Source organism: Homo sapiens, chromosome 6 (genome assembly GCF_000001405.40).
Source record: "Homo sapiens chromosome 6, GRCh38.p14 Primary Assembly".
In the NCBI taxonomy this organism is placed as follows: domain Eukaryota; kingdom Metazoa; phylum Chordata; class Mammalia; order Primates; family Hominidae; genus Homo; species Homo sapiens.
The window spans coordinates 144,245,567-144,267,854 of record NC_000006.12 but is presented as its reverse complement, the minus strand read 5'-3'; the positions used below and the strand labels follow the sequence as shown (position 1 = coordinate 144,267,854).

The following is a 22,288-nucleotide window of genomic DNA, read 5'->3' as shown; positions in this document are numbered from 1 at the left end:
TGAGTCTCCTAAACAAATGATAAGCTCCTTGAGGGCCCAGAGGCTGTCTGATCCCACCATGTAGAGTCACGTGGTATGTGTCCATTAAATAACTGACTGATAATGGGAAAGACTTTTTTTTTTTTTGAGACGGAGTTTTGCTCATGTCACCCAGGCTGGATTGCAGTGGCACAATCTCAGCTTGCTGCAACCTGTGCCTCCCAGGTTCAAATGATTCTCCTGCCTCAGCCTCCCAATTAGCTGGGATTACAGGTGCCTGCCACCACAACCAGATAATTTTTGCATTTTTAGTAGAAATGGGTTTTCACGATGTTGGCCAGGCTGGTCTTGAACTCCTGACCTTGTGATCTGCCTGTCTCGGCCTTCCAAAGTGCTGGGATTACAGGCGTGAGCCACCGCGCCAGGCCCAGGGGAAGACATTTTTCACTGACCCTTTCAATTGCCATGTAGATACTCAGCATTTAAATATATGTACATGGGGGTGGGGGGTGAACAATAAAAGACTCAAATTGGATTCAGTGTATACTGCTCGGGAGATGGGTGCACCAAAGTCCCACAAATCACCACTAAAGAACTTACTCACGTAACCAAATACCACCTGTTCCTCAAAAACCTATAGAAATAAAAAATTTTAAAGGAAATAAAAAACAAAAAACCAAAGGTATGTGTTTTGTTCAGGAGGGTAAAACATTGATTAACTTAAGACTTTATTAAATTACACACTTCATTAAAGTACACACATATATACATGCGTATATATATGTATGTGTGTGTATATACATTTTTATATATATGCTATAAATTCTAGGACATCCCATAAAATATAAAAAACAAAGATATAAGTTCTAAACTAGTAAAAGAAAAAAATAGAATAAGAAAAAATAAAACATGAAATGTAATCCAAAAAAGTAAAGAAGGAATATAAAAGAATGTAGAAAAGGCGGAACAATAGAATGCATAAAATAAAATGGTAGAAATGGAATCCAAATTAAATATATATATAATAATGTGAATTTACTTAATGCTGCTGTATCGTACATTTAAAAATGGGTAAGATGATAAATTTTATGTCATGTGTATTTTACTACAGTTAAAATTTAAATATATGTGCCAAAGTTTATGTTTTATATCTGAAAATTTTAATGTAATTTTGATTTGGATAACCAACTATAAATGAGTTGGAAGAAAATACTGGGTTTTCTGAGCTAACAGAGTCCTAGCTCTGTCAGAGGCCATTTATGTGACCTTAGGCAAGTTGCTTAACTTTTTGAGCCTCCACTGCCTGGCCTGTAGGATGAGTGGATGGATCCACTAGAAGACCTCCCAAGGCCCACCGAGTTCTAATAGTCTGTAATGTTACATCTCTCCGGAGAGCACACGTCATCTTTAAGAATTATGGGAGAAAATCCTCTACCTGGCTCCTGTCCCAGAATTGCAAACTGAGCCACACTAAGTGAACAGAACCTGTTCCACTCCCAGCCCTGCGGCTTCTAAAAACAGTTTTGAAACTGGTAGCAGCTGTGAATTTGGAGGACTCTGCTTCTGCCCCACCCCAGCTGTGCCTCTGTTTTGGGAATTCCGGCTGAGCTTGTACTCAGCCAGCATCCTGTCCTAGTAGCACTAACTGTACCTAGGCTTACTGGAAAGGGATAACCCTTTCGGGAGTCCACTTACCAAGTCTCTATTTCCAGCTCCTCCTGCTGGATGGGGGAGGGGTGGGAAAAAGAGCCTTTTCTTCCTTCAACTTCAAGACAACAGGGAGTGTTTGGGGAACAGGTCTAATTAATTAGCTCAGCAAGATTTTTGAGCCGTTTATTAACTTCAGATTTTAAGAGTTGGGACATTTGTCTGTTCTGCAGTTCCAAAATCTTTTAAAATATATATATTTTTCAATTTTCCCACTTTGGGGAAAAAATACTGTTCTGATGGTTGTTCTTTGAAATTAATTATGAAAGCTGAGATTGTTGGGGGTTTTTGTTTGTTTGTTTTTTGTTTTTTTGCTTTTTTCCAAAGTAAGAGCAGTTTTTGCATATTTGCAAAAATCTCTAGTTCATTTTTTAGCTCAGGGTAGTTATAATAACTACCCTGATATACAAATTTATCAACCAAAAAGGCAGTTAATATGAATAGTCTTTAAGAGTGCTAGCACACTGTAAAATCCCAAAGGCCCAACTTCTAAATGCAAAGGAGGGGGGTGGGGATTGTCATCTTAATTGTAGATCACTCGCCTACCAAGGCTTACCCGGAGTCCTGAACAATGGGGAAAGCCAAATACTTTAGGCCTGAGATCACCCGACTGTCAACCAACCTTCGTTTAAAAAGAGAAGCGAAAGAGGAAGATAGAAAAAATTTCTTCTGTCATTTTCTTAATAAGTATTTAAGTGTTTAGTGACCTGCTGATTTCTCTATGGGATTTAAGGCTATTTATATAAAGATTAAATAACATTGAAACTAAGTGAATGAGAAAACCTGTGCTAAAGAAAAATTATAGATTGGAAAGAAAAGAGATTAAGACACAAAAATATATGAGGAAATTTTTGCATATTTCTTTGGTGAGAATAAATACTCATTTAATCATCACTAAATGTTATTTGTTACCAGGACGGTACTAGTAAAAGGCTCTTCAAGAGCTATTCTGTTACGTGGCCCACTCCAGCTGTGTCAGAGCCCTGCATATTTTGCTTATCTTCCTTTGGCTCACGATAAGGTAATGAATACCAGAGTGTAGTTTGTTTAATATTAACCTGAGGGGTCGATGCCATTAACAGAGCCAAGATTCCAGGGACAAACCCCTTTAAATTCTAGAAGTTGCAATTTTCATTTTTCTTTGTGATCGGTTAACTGTCTCCAGTTGGCTGGGTGAATAGTATGGTTTCTACATGGTACCTTCCTGAACTTGACCTCCAGCCTCTCAGTGGTTACCTTGAGAAGCCAAGTGTTTGGATCCTGCCAGTGATCCAGTGGTTGCATTCATTTTTCTGGTTCTGTTGAAAGGAGGTTTTTCTGTCAGAGCTTTTGTTTCTAATATCACTTGTATAGTTTTGTGATGACGCTGCAGTTTCTTTAGAACACTTCAATACCATCTTGAGTTTTTCCCACAAATTCCATAACCAACACATGACACATTTTTAACATATTAAGAGTAGAACTGATTTTCTTTAATCTAGAAAATGTTCCTAAAAAGGAAACTCAATCCCAGCTTGTCTATCAGTTTCCCCTAAAACTAAGCTTTTCTCTGTTTAAGCATGATGTTCCTTCAGTGTTCAAGCTGGGATGTAGGTGGGAAAGTGTGCCGAAGAATTCTTCCAGAGGAGAGAGTATAAATGTTTCTACAGCCCTTTGACTAATCAGAGATAGAAAACCAGGGGCTGGGTGACAGCTCATACACTAAAGAATTCTAGCACTGGAAAAGAATGCTGCCCTCCGGCCAGTGCTTTCACAGCTACGTTTCCTCCCTCAAAGTTGGCCTTGGGTAAACATGGAGGAATAGGCATCAAGAGTGGAAGGCTGACATCAAAGAAGGAAGAGAGAGGCAAGAAAGAGAATTCGACTCCGGGGTTCTTTTTTGGCCACCTTGTCCCATTGTAAGAGCATGTATTCCAATTTTTACTCAGCAGAGAAGGTGACCATAAAGGTGAAAAACAGATTTCTCTCCTTCTATTTTAAGTAGAGCATTTCTCTCCTATTAGAGGAATCTCTCCTAAGGATTCCTCTCCTACTAGAGGAATCTCTCCTAAGTAGGAGGATTTCTCTCCTACTATTTTAAGTAGAAATCCATTTAAATTTATTTTGTGAACATTTAAGTAATTGTTTGCATATTTCTGTCTAAACAGAAGAGACCACAGACCACCTCAGAGCGCATGCCCTGGCTCTAGGTTCCGCTCCCATTTGCCAGTTGTGACATCAGGAAAATATTCAACCTCTCAGTTTTCATCATACCTACTTCATAAGAGTGATGGAGGATTAAACGAATATAATACATAAACCCATTTAGCATAACTCTGAAGACATAGTATTCAATAAGTGATTTTCATTCTTAACATTTTATTCAAAAGTACCTGATACATAGTCAATACCTATTTTGAATGTTTTCCTTTGGTTTTATTATGAGCCTGGGCTAATGCCTATAAACATCTTATTTCATTCTCAAACCTTATAAATAGGTGTGATACGTATTTTGCAGATAAAGAAACTGAATCTTAGTGCAATGCACTGAATGTTTGTGTCTCTCCAAATTCAATGTTGAGGCCTTAATCCCCAATGGGATGGTATTTGGAGGTGGGACCCTTTGGGAAGTGTTAGGTTTAAATGAAGTCATAATGTTACTAGAGGAGGGTGCCCAGGTTCTTGGCACCTTGCACAAAGAATTGGACAAAACGCACCAACAAAGCAGGGAAAGAATGAAGAAATTTATTGAAAATGAAAGTGCACTCCACAGTGTGGGAGCGGGCCCAAGCATAGGGGCTCTAGGGCACCATTACAGAATTTGTAGGGGTTTAAATACCCTCCAGAGGATTCCATTGTTTACTTGGTGTACACCTCATGTAAATGGACAGGATGAAATAAAGTTACAAAGTCGTTTGCTCAGCGAATGCCCTGTGGAGAGGATATTTCCTGTCACAGCTGAAGTGTGAATCGGCCTTATGTTCCGTGCCTCCAGACCCTAATTTCCTGCCTCAATATGGGTGGGGCCCTCATGATGGAATTAGTGCCCTTATAAAAGAGGGAGAGACCAGAGACCAGAGCCCTTTCTTTCCCCGATATGTGAGGATATAGCAAGAAGGTGTCTGTCTTCAAACTAGAAAGAAGCCCTTCACCAGGTACCAAATTGGCCAGCACTTTGGTCTTGGACTTCCTAACCTCCAGATCTGTGAGAAATAAATTTCTGATGTTTAAGCCACCCAACCTATGGTATTTTGCTATGGCAGCTTGAGCTGATGAAGACACCTAGCAAGGTGAAGGAAGGTCACCTGAGTTGACATAGCTAGTGAGTGGTTGTGCCAGACCTTGAATAAGTGTCTCATGCCAATGCCTTAGCCTTTTTGCATAAAACCGCGCTGCCACCCAATGTTAGAGGGAAGCAACTTGGGTTTCTCCAGACAGAAAGTTTCCCTAAGCCAGCCTGAATCTAGCTGGTATACTTTGCTATGCGTGATACTGTTGTCATATGTAAGTTACTTCGCTTCTCTTTGCCTTGGTTTCTTCATCTGTAAAATGGGGCTAATAGTCATACTGTATCCCACAGCACTGTAAAGAGTCTTATATGAAGATATGAAATTTTGAAATCAGTGTTTGACGTATGGTAAATTATAGTATTATTAACTTTATCATTGTGATTACTATTTATAATCCTGGGGTCAAACCAGATTAGCTTTTGGGAGATAGGAGGAAAGAACAACAAATATTATATTTTCAGCACAGGTTGTAAAACTTCATGTAGTGCAATACTTGTACAGGTAGTACAAGTGTATTACTTGTGGCTATTACCTATGTTTCCTGAAATCATCCCTGAGCATTTTAGAGTAGAACATGACTGGTCCCCCAGCAGAATCATGATTGGAGCTTTTAGAAAACACATCTCAATCCACACTCCTATCCCTAACCCCAGTCCCACCTACCTCCACCCCATTCCCATCCCAGACCACTAATCAGAATCTGAATTTTAAAAGTATCTCAAATTATTAAGATGTCAGATGTTAAACCTTTTTTTTCTTTTTTTCTTTTTTTGAGAGAGGGTCATGCTCTGTCACCCAGGCTAAAGTGCAGTGGCACAATCATGGGTCACCGCAGCTTCAACCTGTCTGGCTCAATTGATCCTCCCCCCTCAGCCTCCCAAGTTGCTGGGACTACAGGCACAAGTCACCATGCTTGGCTAATTTTTTTTTTTTTTTTTTTTGAGACAGTCTTGCTCTGTTGCCCAGCCTGGAGTGCAGTGGTGTAATCTCGGCTCACTGAAACCTCTGCCTCCTAGGTTCAAGCAATTCTCCTGCCTCAGCCTCCCAAGTAGCTGGGACTACAGGTGCATGCCACCATGCTTGCCTAATTTTTGTATTTTTAGTAGAGATGGTGTTTCACCATGTTGGCCAATGCCTGGCGAATTTTTAAATTTTTTTGTAGAGACAGGGTCTTGCTATGTTGCCCAGGTTGGTCTCAAACTCCTAGCCTCAGCCTCCCAAAGTGCTGAGATTACAGGTATGAACGAACATGCCTTCTAATTCAGTCCATTAAAAAAACAAACAAACAAACAAACAAACAAAACAAGAAGAGACAGAGAAATTAAGAGATTTTCCCATTTCCCAGGGTTCAGTGCTTTTTTTTTCTTTTTTTTTCTTTTTTTTTTGGAGACAGGGTCTCCCTCTGTCACTTAGCCTGGAGTGCAGTGGTGTGATCATGGCTCATAGCCTCTACCTTCTCAGGTTCAGGTGATCCTCCTGCCTCAGCCTCCTGAATAGCTGAGACACAGGCACGTGCCGTGAAACCTGGCTAATTTTTAAATATTTTTATAGAAAAGGAGTTTTGCCATGTTGCCCAGGCTGGTTTGGAATTCCTGGACTCATGCAATCTGCCAGTTTCGGCTTCCCAAAGTGCTGGGATTACAGGCATGAGCTAACCGTGCCTGGCCAGTTCAGGGCTCTTTCTACCATAAGGAGTTGACATTCACTCAAATGCACAGCCTGATTATTCCAGGTCTATTGTCTTTTTTCCTTGTCAGTCAAAATATGTATGAATTCTATAGAAATGCTAACTTAGTCTCACAGATTCTTCCCTTTATAGCAGGGATGTTAGGAGGCTGGGTTTGGGGGAAGACTTGAGTGCCAAAACCCACTCCCCTCTTCTGTGAACGAGGGTGACAGAAAAAAAGGAACTCACATAAATGGGCTGGTCTCTGGGCCTGTCATAAATACTATTAGGATTCTCCATGTAAATCTGTAACTTATCTTATTTTTGGCCTAGTCCTGGTTAAAAGATAATGCTAGGTTACCCTTTTGAGCTGCTGTTAACACTGGGGTTGAGGTTGGCCCATTGATTCTATGGAAGATATCAAGTCATTCATTTACTTATTCCCTGTCAGGCTGAACTGTGCTTGTAGATCCACCAGATGACTTTCATAGCAAAAATGCTTTTGTACTGTTGACTTGTAAACATGGCCTTAGAGTCAACAGGGTCTTTTCTCTAAGAGCTCCCAGGCATTTCAAGAAATCTAAGACCAACAAATTCTCTTCAAGTCTCTCATGAAACCCATTTGTAGATATGACCTAACAACTGCCTTAACTATTATTTAAAAACTAAGAATGCAATCATTTTTTGAGGTTGTTTCTAAGTATCTCCCAAACAGTAATAGTTTATAAAATGTGAAGAACAGCTATAGCCACCTAGAAAAAACTAACAGAATTGTTATAAATACCTAATCTTATGAGTGAGCAGCTGTAAGTTAGAAATATGCCTCATGCTAAAAGGGATGTTTCTATTTTCTTAAAAAGGAAGAAAAAATTATTCATAGGGACTTGTTTCTATTTCTTAATACAGATACTCCCTATGTGAAATCTTTCTTTTGGGTTGCCAGGAGTAGGAAATTAGAGAGGAAATACAGTCATATTTTTTAACCCAGTGGTTTATTCTCCTGAAGCCCAGAGGGAAAAGAAATATTCCCATAACAAACATTCTAAATCCCTTTTATTGTAATACTCATCAACCTTATAATTGCTTCTTCAATATCCATCTTCCCAGTTAGACTATAAATTCCACAAGAGTGACTACGTTTTTCCCATTCACTATTCTGTGTCTGGTATAGAGCCTTGGCACATAGTTTGATGTGCAATTAATAATATCTTTTGAATAAAAACGTTGAATAAATTACATTGAAGCAATAGTCTTCAACAGGAATAATGGGAGACATTGAGATTTAAATTGCAGATGAAGCCACTGTGTGGAGTTGGAGTTACTTTATGTGTTCAAAGTGATATAGTTTATAATGGGAATAATTAGATGAAAGAAAGGGAATTTCTGGTTTTCAAAGCAAAAACAGAGAAGAACCTGACACTGGTAATCATTAAGAACCAAAGAGAAAAATGTATTTCACATTGCACCTAAGTCTAATTGTCTTGAAATATTTTTGTTATCTATTATACAGTACACAGTAGTGTTTTAGGTTTCATTTGTTTTAACAAAGAGGGGTTTTAGATTTTTTTTAAGTGCTACTGTAAAAGTAGTCACATCTGTGGTTTAGACTGTATAATTTCAACAACACAATTAGCATCCTAAAGCCATCTGAGGTAGTGTAACATCATTGCTGGTTTTATTGTTGATAAATAAAGCTCTTGAAAAATAAATCTCTGAAGTTAAACATATGAATATCTACAATAATGTTATAAATGCTATCTTTTTAAAAAATTAAGAGAACAGTATCATTTCATACTACAACCTTTTTTGGTGGGATGAATACTTGAAAACGTGACGATGAAAAAGTCAAGTTGAAAAATAGTTGCGAGCATATCTCTTCGTCAAACTTCAGTCCCTTGATAATGCTGCTTCTTCTACAGAAAAGTGAGAATAATTGACTCAAAATTACAATAGCAGATCGGTACCAACATTTGAGAGCTATGAACATGTAAAGTAAAGGAGACAAATATACCCACACTGAATTCTTAAAGAATTTTGAATGACTACACTTAGAATTAAAAGATCATTGAGGGCCGGACATGGTGGCTCAAGCCTGTAATCCAAGCACTTTGGGAGGTCACAGCAGGAGGATCACTTGAGCCTAGAAATTTGAGGTCAGCCTGGGCAACACAGAGAAACCCTGTCTCTACAATACATTTTTAAAAATTCGCCAGGCATGATGGTGCGCACCTATAGTCCCAGCCACTTGGGAGGCTGAGGCCGGAGGATCACGTGAGACAGGGAGGTTGAGGCCGCAGTGAGCCATGATCACACCACTGCACTCCAGCCTGGGTGACAGAATAAGATCCTGTCACAGAAAAAAAAAAAAAAAGGAATATAGCATAAAATTTACCATCTTAGGGAAATAATAATAAAGATTAGAGCAGAGATAAGTAAAATTGAGAATAGAAAAATTATTTTAAAAATCGATGAAGCTAAGATCAATGAAGCTAAGAGCTGAAAAGATTAATAAAATTGAGAAACCCTTACCTAGATTAACTAAGGAAAAAAAGAGAGAAGATTCAAATAATTAAAATCAGAAGTGAAATAGGAGATTTTTTCTTTTTCTTTGTTTTTTTGAGATGGAGTCTCGCTCTGTTGCCCAGACTGGAGTTCAGTGGCACCATCTCAGCTCACTGCAAGATCCGCCTCCTGAGTTCACGCCATTCTCCCGCCTCAGCCTCCTGAGTAGCTGGGACTACAGGTGCCCGCCACCACACCTGGCTAATTTTTTTTTTTGTATTTTTAGTAGAGATGGGGTTTCACTGTGTTAGCCAGGATGGTCTCGATCTCCTGACCTCGTGATCTGCCCGCCTCGGCCTCCCAAAGTGCTGGGATTACAGGCGTGAGCCACCGAGCCTGGCCTAAATAGGAGATAATACAACAGATGCCACAGAAATAAAATGGGTTATAAGAGTGCTGTGGTTTCACTGTGTCCCCCAAGAGTTCAGGTGTTGGGACCTTAATTCCTTAATGCACAGTATTGGGAGGTGGGTACTAGTAGGAGGTGTTTGGGTCGCAGGGGTGGAGCCCTCATGAATGGATTAATGCTATTCTCTAGGAACTTGGTTAGTTACCTCAAAAGCAAGTAGATATAAAGCCAGCCCCAGCCCAGCCCTTTGTACTTGTCTCTGTTCACATGGCTTTCTTCCCCTTCCCCTTAATCTGCCATGCTATGCAGCAGCTCAAGGCCCTCACCAGATGTGGCCACCATCTTGGACTTTCCTGCTTCCAAAGCCATGAGCTAAAGAAACTTTTTTTCTTTATAAATGACCCAGCCTCAGGTGTTCTATTATAGCCATGAAAGACAGACTAAGACAAAATGAATACTATGAACAACTGTATGCCAATAAATTGGATAACCTAGAAGAAATGGAAATATTCCTAGAAACACACAACCTGCCAAGACTGAATCATAAAGAAAAAGAAAATCTGAACAGACCAATAACTAGTGAGGAGGTTGAATCAGTAATTAAACACCTCCCAACAGATCCTCTGGCTTGAGGCTGTCCAGGCTAGAGCATCAGAAAAAGACAAAAGATTGGATTGTAAGAAAAGAAAGCAGAAGTCATGTTTTGAAGATCTGTATTGCAGATGCTTCATCAGTTTGTAAGACATGAGTCCAAAATATCCAGCAGTTTGGTTTTTGAAAGATCTCTGAATCATGTGCAGTTACTTTGGCAAGTGGGCCAAGACCCTGTGATTTAATAGTTGGGGGAAAAAAAATCTAGTCACCACATTTTCTCTGCCCACAAATGAGATATGGCAATCAAGGGAAAGTGAGGTATACGAAATGGGTGCTTAGATGGGTTAATTTACTTGTTAATATTAGGGAAATAATGTACAGTACTAAAGAGCTAATTAGGAAGATGATTATTAGGGTATGACCATGAAAGGAAAGGAGTTTTTCTATAATAGGTGACGTAGTGTCTTGAAATCCTAGCTGAAATGGATACGCCAGTCAAAAGTCAACACGGCGCAGAACATCAGTATTCCTACCCAGCCTGAGAGGTGTGGCACATCAGTATATGAAAAAGAGGTCTAGAATTTATGTGGGAAGGAAGTAAACTATGGTGAATACTTGGATACAAATAACATGAGGCAGCAATCATAGCTGATAACATTATATTTCTGAGGGACCAGACAAAAGAGAAGGCGTAGAGTGGCCATTGTTTGGTACAGTCTCACTTCCAAATCATGTACAATCTTTATAGTTTCTAAGGACAAGATTTAAAATATTCTTAAAAAAAAAAAAAAAAAAAAGCAGGGTTGGGTGCAGTGGCTCATGCCTGTAATCCCAGCACTTTGAGAGGCCAAGATGGGAAGATCACTTGAGTCTAGGAGTTTGAGACCAACATGGCTGATGTGGTGAAACCCCATCTCTACTAAAAATGCAAAAATTAGCTGAGCATGGTGGTGAGCACCTGTAATCCCAGCTACTTGGGAGGCTGAGGCACGAGAATCACTTGAACCCAGGAGGCAGAGGTTGCAGTGAGTTGAGATTGCACCACTGCACTCCAGCCTGGGTGACAGAGTGAGACTCTCTCAGAAACAAAAATGAAAACAAAAAAACCCACAACAACCCCAATAAGGAAAAGCCCAGGATCAGATGACTTCACCGAATAATTCTATCAAGCATTTGAAAAATAATCAACAACAATCCTCCTCCAACTTTTTCTTTAAAAATTTAAAGAGAAGGAACACATCCAAGCTCATTTTATGAGGCCAATATTATTAACCTGATTCCAAAGACTGGTAAAGACACCATAAAAAAAGAAAACTAAAGACCAATATCCCTGATGAATATTAATGCAATGATCCTTAACAAAATACTAGCAAACTGAATTCAATAGCATATTAAAAGGATAATGTACCATAACCAAAGGATGTTTTTATTTCTAGAATACACTATGGCTCAATATATGATAATCAATAAATGTAATACAACTCATTAACGGAATAAAGGACAAAATCACATGATTATCTCAATTGATGCAAAAAAAACCCCATTTGGCAAGATCGACAAACTTTCATGATAAAATCACTCATTGAAATAAGAATAAATGAAACTACCTCAATATAACAAAGGCCAGATATGAAAATTTCATCATTAATATCCTATTCAAGGGTGAAAGACTGAAAGCTTTTCCTCTAAGATCAGGAACAAGACAAGGATGCTTGTTCCTGTTGTTTCCATTCAACATAGTATTGGAAGTTTTAGCCAGTGTGATTAGGCAAGAAAAAGAAACAAAATAAATAAGTAATTAGAGGCTGGGCTTGGTGGCTCATACCTATAGTTCCAACTACTTGGGAAGCTGAGATGGGAGGATTCCTTGAGCTTAGGAGTTCAAGGCCCCAGTGAGGTATGATCATACCACTACACTCCAGCCTGGGCAACAGAGTAAGACCCTGTCTCAAACAAAAAAAAAAAAAGTTGGACTTTTATCTTATACCATATACAAAAATTAACTCAAAATGGATTAAAGACCTAAATGTAATACCTAAACCTATAAAGCTCCTAGGAGAAAACACAGGGAAAATTTTTATGACATTGGAGTTGGTAATGATTTCTTTGATATGAAATCATTTTAACACCCAAAGCACACACAACAAAAGGAAAACAAATAGGGATACATCAGGCTTAAAGATTTTTGTTCATTAGAAGACACAATCAAGGCTGGGCACAGTGGCTCATTCCTGTAATCCCAGAATTTTGGTATGCTGAGGCAAGAGGATCTCATGAGCCCAGAAGTTTGAGATTGCAGTGAGCCATGATTGTGCCACTGCACTCCAGCCTGGGAAACACAGTGAGAATCTGGTCAAAAAAAAAAAAAAAAAAACACACACACACACACACACAATTAACAGAAGGAAAAGGCAACCTATGGAATGCGAGAAAATATTTGCAAAGCATATATGTCTGATAAGGTGTTAATATCCAGAATATATAAAGATCTCCTACAATGTAACAACAACAAAAAAATCAAATAACCCAATTAACAAACAGGTAAAATTTCTCCAAAGATCATATACAAATGTCCAATAAGCATATGAAAAGATGGTTAATATCAATAATTATCAGAGAAATACAAATTAAAACACAACGCAATATCATCTCACACTCTTTAGGACGGCTACTATAAAAAAAAAAAACAGAAAATAACAGGTGTTGGCAGAGATGTGGAGAAGGTGAAACCCCTGTGCATGGTTACTATGGTTGTAAAATGGTGCTTTGGAAAACAGTATAGTTGTTACTAAAACAAATAAAAATAGAACCATTGTGTGATGCAGCAAACCCACTTCTGTGTATATATCCAAAAGAACTGAAAGCAGAATCTCAAAGACATTTACACATCCAGGTTCATAGCATCATTATTCATCATATTCAATAATGAGTATGACCATTACATCAGGTTCTTCAAGCCAAAAGGTTGAAAGAACCCAAATGTCCATTGACACATGAATGAATAAACAAAATGTGGAATATACATACAATGGAATATGATGCCACCTTAATAAAGAAGGAAATTCTGACACATGCTACAACATGAATGAACCTTGAGGATATTATGCTAAGTTATATAAGCCAGTCACAAAAGAACAAATACTGCATGATTCCACTTACATGAAGTATCTGAAATATTCAAATTCAGGCCAGTGTGGTGGCTCACACCTGTAATCCCAGCACTTGGGGAGGCTGAGGCAGGTGAATCACCTGAGGTCAGGAGTTCGAGACCAGCCTGGCCAACATGGCAAAACCCCATCTCTACTAAAAATACAAAACTTAGTCAGGCATGGTGGCGGACACCTGTAATCCCAGCCACTCAGGAGGCTGAGGCGGGAGAATCGCTTGAATCTAGGAGGCAGAGGTTGCAGTGAGCTGAGATCACGCCACTGCACTCCAGCCTGGGCGACAGAGTGAGACTCCCTCTCAAAAATAAATAAATAAATAAATAAATAAAGTATTCAAATTCTTACAGACAGAAAGAATGATAGTTGCCAGGGGCTGGGGAGAGGGAACAAAGTGGAAGCTGTTATTTAATATATAGAGAGGTTCAGATTTGCAAGATGAGGAAGTTCTAGAGATGTGTTTCACAACAACGTGAGTATACTTAACGCTATTGGACAGTACCCTTAAAAATGGTTAAGATAATAAATTTTAGGAGTGTTTTAATTCACAATAAAAATTTCTGTAAATAAGTGAGTAAATAAATAAATAAAACTCACCACACCAAGTGTTGACATGGATGTAGAAGAATTGGAAACTTCATACACTGCCAGTGAGAATGTACAACAGTACATCCACTTTGGAAACCACTTTGTCAGTTTCTTAAAAACTAAACATATATCTCCCATGCCACACTAGGTATCTATCCAAGAAAAATTAAGGCATACATCTGTACAAACTTGAACAAGGATGTTCATAGTAGCTTTATGAGTAATAGTCAAAATCTAGAAACAATCCAAACATACATCAACAGTGTCAAAAGACAACATTATAACACATTTAGCTATAGATCTAATTGGCTTTTATTCTTGACTTACGAATCAGGGTAACCTTCATTCTACGAAATAGAATGAGAGCTCCACTGAGCAACAGTGGGGGTTGCAAGGTGAGAGCAAGAAAACAGAAAAGAAAAAAAAAATCGTTTTTTTGGTAAGGATTAAAGCAGAGGGGACTTCCTTATTATGCTGGCTCAGCTAGACTGGAATCTCCTGTTTTCAGGAAAACTGGTTTGTTTTGGGATCTATCTGCTTCCTTTAAGTTTCAACTTGATTATGTAGCATTTAGTATGAGTGACTCCATTTTGGTTTGATCTGGTCTGTTGGAGTCTAGTTCAGGAGCTCAGTCCAAATTAATGGCCTCCACAATTTTCGTTTAACAAAAGTGAATAAAGAAATTGTGTATATCCATACAATGAAATATTAATCACAAAATAAGTATACTTTTTACATATAATTTACTGAGTTTTTATTATGTACCAAGCATTCTGCCAAATGCTTTAAACAGGTAATCAAACAACTCAGTGAGGTAGAAATAACTAACCTTATTACACAGGTGGTGAGGCTGAGTTTTGTAGAAGTTTAATAACACATACAAGGTTACACAGCCAAGCTGTGTCAAAATCAGAGTTTAAACTTAGGTCTAGAGTAATGGCAAAAATAAGAGTGTTTAATCCCTACACTGTATTTCTTGAATTCTAACAGGAGTTGTACACTCCTGATGATAGTAAACATCCTATACACTACTGATGATAGGCTGATGCTAGTAAACATCTCAGTTGACGAATTTCTTAGAAAACAAAGCTCTGGCTGTTTGCTGGTCATGTTATCTGCCACTATAGTGCAATGGTTGAGAATGTGAACTGTAAATGTCAACAACACAGGTGTGGATTCCTACTGCTACCACTTTCCAGTTGTGAGAGCTATTTAATCTTTCTGTTCTGTTATCTCTAAAATGGAGATAATAGAATCTGTCTCATTCTCTGATTGAACTTCAAACAATTTCTGACACATGATAAAACATTACCCATCTTTCTTTTAACTTTAAATGCTGCTTGTCTCTGTCAAGAAAGATAAGCCACTTTTTAAAAAAATTATTTAATTTAATGTGTTAAAACCTGTTATATGCAATGTCCTGGACATTGTTAGGGATACAAAGATGAGTCAGATGGGAGTATCTCAGATGGGAGAATCCCTGTCCCCAGGAATTTTGCAATCTATTAAGCAAAAGCCATGCTCAGCCAATTCAATACTCTTAATATTCATGTGACCTGTGCCTTGTGGTTGGTTGAACTTTATATTTAAATTTTTGACTTTGCAACATTCTAACATATTTTGCATTATGAAATACTGTGTCTGAGCCTATTCTCATTTAGGCCTTCTTAAATTATTAGCCCTTCCTCCTTCTTGATAGCAACATTTATTGATGATAGTATTTCATTTTTTTACTGCAAAAACTTAGTGAAACTTACCAAGCTTATCCCATTTTGAAATAATTTTTGTAAAGTCTTTTAAGTATTATCAAATTAATATGTAGGTATTGTAATATTATACACAGTAATGGCCTGACTCTTTAGTGAGGGACAGACAGAATTACAGGTTATGACAGCTTAAAGCAAACCAAGCTTTTCATGTTGTGCAGGTGACCTCTTTTGCTTTCATGATTGACTGAATCTACTGAAGACAGAAACCAGCTTCAATTTTGGTAACCCTGTATGTGTTACTGAACTCCAAAACTCAGCTTCACCACCTGTATAATAAGGCTAGTTATTCCTACCTCATTGAGTTGTTGTGATTACATGTTTAAAACATTTGGCACAATGCTTGGTACATAATAAAAACTCAATAAATTATATGTAAAAGTGTACTCACTTTGTAATATTTCCTTGTATGGATATACAGAACTTGTGTATTCATTTTTGTTAAACAAAAATTGTGGAGACCATTATTTTGAACTGAGCTCCTGAACTTGTCTAAATTGATCATTTAACCCCTCTGCAGTGTTGCCTTTAGGATAAGGCAAATAGGAAAACTACATCAGGTTCCCTGGTTTAGGGATCAGCATTGTGATAGAAGCTACACAGTAGAATGTTAGAGACTGAATTGTGTTTTCTCAAAGTCCATATGCTGAAGTCCTAATGCCCAGCGCCTCAGAATGTGACCTTATTTGGAAATGGGGTTGTTGCATATGTGATTAGTTAAGATAAAGTCAGTAGGGTGGGCCTCTAAGCCAATATGGCTGATGTATTTATAAAAACGGGAGATATGAACACAGAGATTCACACATAGAAATTGCCACATGAAGACTGGCATTATGCTGCCACAAACCAAGGAACTACAAGAAACCAGGAGATACCTGGAACAGATACCTCTCCAGTGTCCTCAGAGGGAGCATGGAGCAGCTGACATCTTGATTTCACACTTGAAGCCTCCAGAACTGCAAGACAATACATTTCTGGTGTTTAAGCCACTCGGTCGGGAGTACTTTGTTACAGCAGCCCTGGGAAACTTATGCAAGATGGGAGGGGAATTCTGTTTTCTTCTTTTGTTCTTTTCTCCATTATGATACACAAATGCAAGCGCTCTTCTGCAACTTGATTTTTTTTTTTTTAATTTAAGGATACAAAGATATAATACTTCCTCCATGTTGCTTAAGGCCTACTACGGGAGATAAAACAGATCAACTGGGAGGTCATCGCTTGAATCTAGGCTCCGTCACTTTATTCTGTAGTTCCAGGCAAGTTACTTAGCTTCCCCAAATTTCAGTTTCTTTATCTATGATATGTAGATAATAATATAACCTACCAGTGTTATTGAATAGTTTGAGATAATGTGGGTAAACAGTGTGTGCTCACAAAATGCACCCACATCACAAGGCAACTGCAGTTTAAGGCAGAATGATCTAGACAGGAATGGAAGTATAGCAGGTGCTTTGGGAGCTCAGTGGGGAGAGATTTCACATATGCTGGGAAACCTGGGTGAAAGTGATGGCATTTAGGTTGGTCTTTAAATAATTGCAAATTGAATCAGTGAGAAGCCACTCATGGTGAAAGAAACAGCATGAATGAAGGCAGTAGGTCTCCCAAACACAGGGCACATTCAACAAGTAGTGTGGCTTAGGCTGGAGTATTGGATATGAATTTCAGTTTAACTGTCTTCCTGGAAGAGCTCTCTTGATGACGCTGGTTTAGTTTCAAACCTCCTCCCCATCCCTCTCCAGCACATCGCTGTATTTATTTCCTTCTTAACATGTATCACATGTGGAGTCCTAATTAGGGAGGGGGAGTTGGGCTGGCAGGACCTAGGGAAAGCAAAAGGAGAAGGCAGATAAGCTATAAGCCTGCCTTTCTTCATGTGCAGGACACATAGCCCTCCTGTGCAAATAATTCACAATCTTCTTGCACCTAGCGACCCTTGGGTGATAGAAGAAGTCAAGTTAGCTCACTGCAACCTTGGCATTATCGATACTGCACAAAGCCGTCTTCAGCACACAGCACAAACACCATTCTATAAAATCCCCGGCAAGCCTTTGTCTCTTTGCAGTCAATTCCTTTTTGCTGACCTGCCCATTGCACCCTTGCAACAGATTTTTGTGCTTTCTCTAATAAATTTGCTTTTCTTTACCTACAACTGTCTTGGTAAATTCTTCTTATTGCCATGCCTCCAGCCCCAAATAGTCGCTAATTACCAGCAACGTCACAAACTGTAATTCTCCTGTTTATCTGCCTATTTACTTGACTATTGTCTGTTTCCCCTACTAGACAAGGGCAGGGACTAGCGCTTTTATTCAGAACTGTCCCAGCGTTTAACGCAGGAGATGCCCAACAAATATTGAGCAAGGAAAAAAAGGAAGGAAGAAAAGGAGAGGAGTGGGAGGTAGGAGAACAGAGGAGGAAACTGCCTGGAGTAGCAGAGGAGTACCATAAAATCCGTTGAAGTACTAGCTTGGAACCAGAGGATGGAGGAGCTCTTGGAAGGAAGGGTTATTAAGAACCTCAGCTCAGGCTTCTGAATCAGAATTCCTAAGGGAATGATTTGGTAGTCTGCCTATATAACAACCACCCCAGGTGAATCAGCTTCAGGCAAATTTGGGAAATACTATATGGACCAGCAGTACCAGCGTCACCTGGGAATCCATTAGAAAAAAAACTTCTCAGGCCCAGTTCTCAACCTTCTGAATCAGGATCTGCATTTTAACACAAGGTCCCCAGGAGATTGAAATGTACTGAGAATTACGATCCTGCCTCTTACTGTAATGTCGTTAGATGCCACCCACCGCTTTGCTTCTTCCAGGCTTGAGTGGAGAATTGGGCTAAATGTGTTTTGAAATAATGGGAATCCTTGAGCAGAAATCAGGGATATAAATATTCCTACTCTATTTGGTGTCTATAGATAGATCTCAGCTTCAACCATGAGACTTCCTTAAAATTGCAACACAAAAAGAGTCTTTTAACCAGCAGTTATTCTGGGACATTCTAGTTTGAAGCCAAAAATGATCTCCCACCCAAGAAAGGAACTTGAAAGACTCATACCAGTAACATAAATCACCACAACTAGAAAAAAAAAAAAAAAAGACTACGCAGAACACATACACACACAAATAAACTCAGAGAAATAACGTCTCCATTCAGGAAAATACTGAAATCTGTTTGTGGGGAAATCTTTAGGATAACTACAGAGGACTAAAGGAATAGGAACAAACCAAAATCCTTTAATGAATCATGGAATCTGTAAATTGGTATCAGATGTTCTCCAAAGAGCTGCAGACAGCCCAAACAACACTCCAAATTCTTCCAAATAAGGTAGCCCCAGCTACTGCTCTTAAACACAATTTTGCTCTACCTGATTGTCTCTTTGGTTTAGAATGAACCAGTTGTTTTCAGAATTAAAGTGCATTTCTACATATAAGATTAGAAGGATTGTGAGGAGGGCTTCTTTAAACACACACTCACTTATTTACTGAGTCAGATTTTCCAGTGTGTCATTTAGAGAAAAGGGTAGCATAAATCCAAGAAGCTGTCTTTGGTTTCATTTGGTGGTCAGGGAGCAAGGGGGATTTGTTTTTCTGTTGTAGCGTAGCAACTTGATTTCAGGGCTGCTCCTCTGTTGTATGTGCAAAGGGAGATACCAAGAGAATTTTCCAGAAGGTGCAGAGATGGTCTTTAGCCAGCCTGTGAGCTCTCAGACATATATTCAAAAAGAAATTACTTCAAAGAAAGTGTTTGAAGCAGAAACTTAAAAGAGTTAATAGTATAGAACTATAGACTCATAGAAAGAACTCTTAATGGAACATTAATTGGGACATTTACCAGTGTGACAATATATCCATCTCCTCTGCCACAGGTGGGGTGGGGGTGCTGCCTGGGCTAGAGTTAACTCCCTTAGGCCAGTTAACTCACATGATGAGCAGCTGCCTTAGTTTACCCCAGTGTGCCAACAAATATAGTTCTGTGTGACAAGTTGTGAAAAGATTAGGAAGCGCTGGTGTGAATCACACCCATATTGTGGGCTTTCAGAATGTGTGAATAGATTGATGATTTCAGGCAGCACATAGGCATGATATTACAAACGTTGAATTGCTTAGTGAGATCATTTCCCATTCAATTGTCTTTCAATCCATTGGAACAGAGAAAGAGAAATGATCAGTGTGTTATCATAGCTTCAACTATTAAGTTCTCATTTAACAAAGAGAAACTAGATCACAGGTATATTTTTGCTATTTCGATATGAATAACTTTTTTTTTTTTTTTTTTTTTTCTGAGACGGAGTCTGGCTCTGTCATCAGGCTGGACTGCAGTGGCACAATCTCGGCTCACTGCAAGCTCCGCCTCCCAGGTTCAAGTGATTCTCCTGCCTCAGCCTCCTGAGTAGCTGGGACTACAGGCACGTACTACCATGCCCAGCTAATTTTTGTATTTTTAGTAGAGACAGGGTTTCACCATGTTAGCCAGGATGGTCTTGATCTCCTAATCTTGTGATCCGCCCGCCTCGGCCTCCCAAAGTGCTGGGATTGGAGGCATGAGCCACCGCGCCTGGCCCATTGTTTTATTTTATTTATTTTTGGTCATTGGTACTTGTTTTTCATTTACAGTAGTGATTTAAAGTTTCATCTTAAAATAAACTTACTTCGACATAAAAGGGAGCTGATGCAAAGAAAATATTAAACCAAAAGTGGTACAACTTGTGTCTTTATCATATGGCAAAAAATTGTGAAGTTCATATTCAAATAATTGAAGTTCCAAAAGCATCATCCATCGAGTTGCTTGAATCCACTCTGCAATATCTCTGATAAGTCACTTAAAACCCTTCTAGACAGAGCAGACGTATTATTAGTGCAATTTATTCCATTTTAGGAAACGTTAAACTGTTAAAATTTTAAGACTTAGTTGAAATCTGTTTTCAGGATCTTCCTATTATTAATTCCAATTTATCTCCCTGGAGCCCAATGGAACAAATCTAATCACTCTCTACACTGAAACCCTCTTACATATTGGAAAATAACTCTATGTTTAGTATCCACCCCCGCATCATTAACATTCTTTGTCTCTTGGGACACATACACACTAGACCTCCTTCCGTCAAGCCAAACAGCCTTCAATTTCCCCCCTCTGACACAATTCTGATCACACTCACCCCCTGGCCATTCTTTTCTGGGCTTGTTCTAATTTATCAGTATCTCTCTTAAACCGTGTGAATCAATTAAAACTATTTTGGTTGCATGTGACAGAAAACCTAGTTTAAGCTAGCTTGCACGGTTTAAATCTCCAGAGTAAGATTCATTGAAGGCATGATTTGATACAGGGGCTCACAGAAGACCCCCAGAATCAAGATTCATTGTCTCTTTTCTCTCTCAGCTCTGTTTTCTCCTAAGAAGGGTCTATATCTAGGCAGGCATTTCATTCAGCATAGCAAGATGGTTAAAGAGGTCCAGGCTTACCTTCTTACAACCTCAAGTCTAGTACAGAAGAATGGGAATCTCTCAGAAATCCCAGAAAAAGTCTCACTGCATCTCAGTAGCTCCGAATGTGTCACATGCTTTCTCCTGGACCAATCACTGTCAGCAAAGGAGTGCAATATCCTGATTGGTCAGAAGCAAGGAGTAAAGACAACTTTATCAGCAGCACAGAGCTTTACATGGGGATAAAATTCATGTCCCAGAGGGAGAGCAAGTTGTGTTTACTAGAAAAACTCATATAATGATGTCCAGATAAAAATTCAGTACCCCCGGTGAGGTATGACCAGAGAATAAAGTAAGACAATCACTTCCTTTATTATGAACTTTCTATGTCAACATGGGAGTAAGTGAGATAGCATATTCTCCATTCCAAAACTATCAGGGGCTGTTATTTCTATCCTCTGTCTGTGCTGGTAGCCTATACATGGTGGGGACATTGTATCAACATAAAACATTGTTTTTTGGTTTCCAGACCAAAGCATATAATTAAGATGAGCTGGTTTTAAAAAGAAGAGAGAATTGTATAATTGGCTACCCTAATAGCAACCAGGTATGGGAGCTCACAGCAAGAAAGGAAATAGAAAAGCCATACCAAGTGGTGGCTATGATTTAAAAAGCAAAAAGATAAAACAAAAACAAAATTTTCGACTTCAAAACATCATATAGAACTGCAGTAATCAAGGAAGAGGGCTGAACCACATGGTCAAATAGAAGCCTTTGTCCACCCTACAGGAATGCCAATTTAACAACTATCTACACACAAAAAGCACCAATTTAACAAATATCTACACACAAAAATCAGGTGGCAACCACAGAACCTGGTTTTAACTTTAAATTGCTGAAAGAGGCACTGAAGAGGGTAGGAAGGACAGTCTTGAATTGCTCACACCACCCTTTCCCCATCCCCTGGCAGGACTGCATGGCATGGAGAGAGAATCTGTGCGCCTGAAGGAGGGAGAGCACAGTGATTGTGGGACCCTGCTGTGAACTCAGTGCTGCCCTGTCACAGTGGAAAGCAAAACCAGTTTAAACTCTGTTGATACCTGCCTATGAAGGGAGAGTCTAGACCAGCCCTAGCCAGAGGGAAATCACCCATCCCAGCAGTCAGAACTTGACTTTGGCAAGCGTCAAGGGCTAAAATGCTCTGAGGTCCTAAATAAACTTGAAACG

General features: G+C 39.0%; 4 annotated features.

Annotated features, from left to right (window-relative positions):
* Positions 949–1,682: an enhancer, noted in NCBI's record as "NANOG-H3K27ac hESC enhancer chr6:144587309-144588042 (GRCh37/hg19 assembly coordinates)". NCBI's record gives its function as "activates a minimal SCP1, AML or CMV promoter by ChIP-STARR-seq in naive H9 embryonic stem cells {active_cell/tissue: H9 hESC(naive)}" and the evidence as "EXISTENCE:reporter gene assay evidence [ECO:0000049][PMID:30033119]".
* Positions 1,683–2,416: an enhancer, noted in NCBI's record as "OCT4-NANOG-H3K27ac hESC enhancer chr6:144586575-144587308 (GRCh37/hg19 assembly coordinates)". NCBI's record gives its function as "activates a minimal SCP1, AML or CMV promoter by ChIP-STARR-seq in naive H9 embryonic stem cells {active_cell/tissue: H9 hESC(naive)}" and the evidence as "EXISTENCE:reporter gene assay evidence [ECO:0000049][PMID:30033119]".
* Positions 3,976–4,176: a silencer, noted in NCBI's record as "peak6184 fragment used in MPRA reporter construct". NCBI's record gives its function as "represses an SCP1 promoter by STARR-seq MPRAs in K562 erythroleukemia cells {active_cell/tissue: K562}" and the evidence as "EXISTENCE:reporter gene assay evidence [ECO:0000049][PMID:32103011]".
* Positions 6,976–7,176: a silencer, noted in NCBI's record as "peak6183 fragment used in MPRA reporter construct". NCBI's record gives its function as "represses an SCP1 promoter by STARR-seq MPRAs in K562 erythroleukemia cells {active_cell/tissue: K562}" and the evidence as "EXISTENCE:reporter gene assay evidence [ECO:0000049][PMID:32103011]".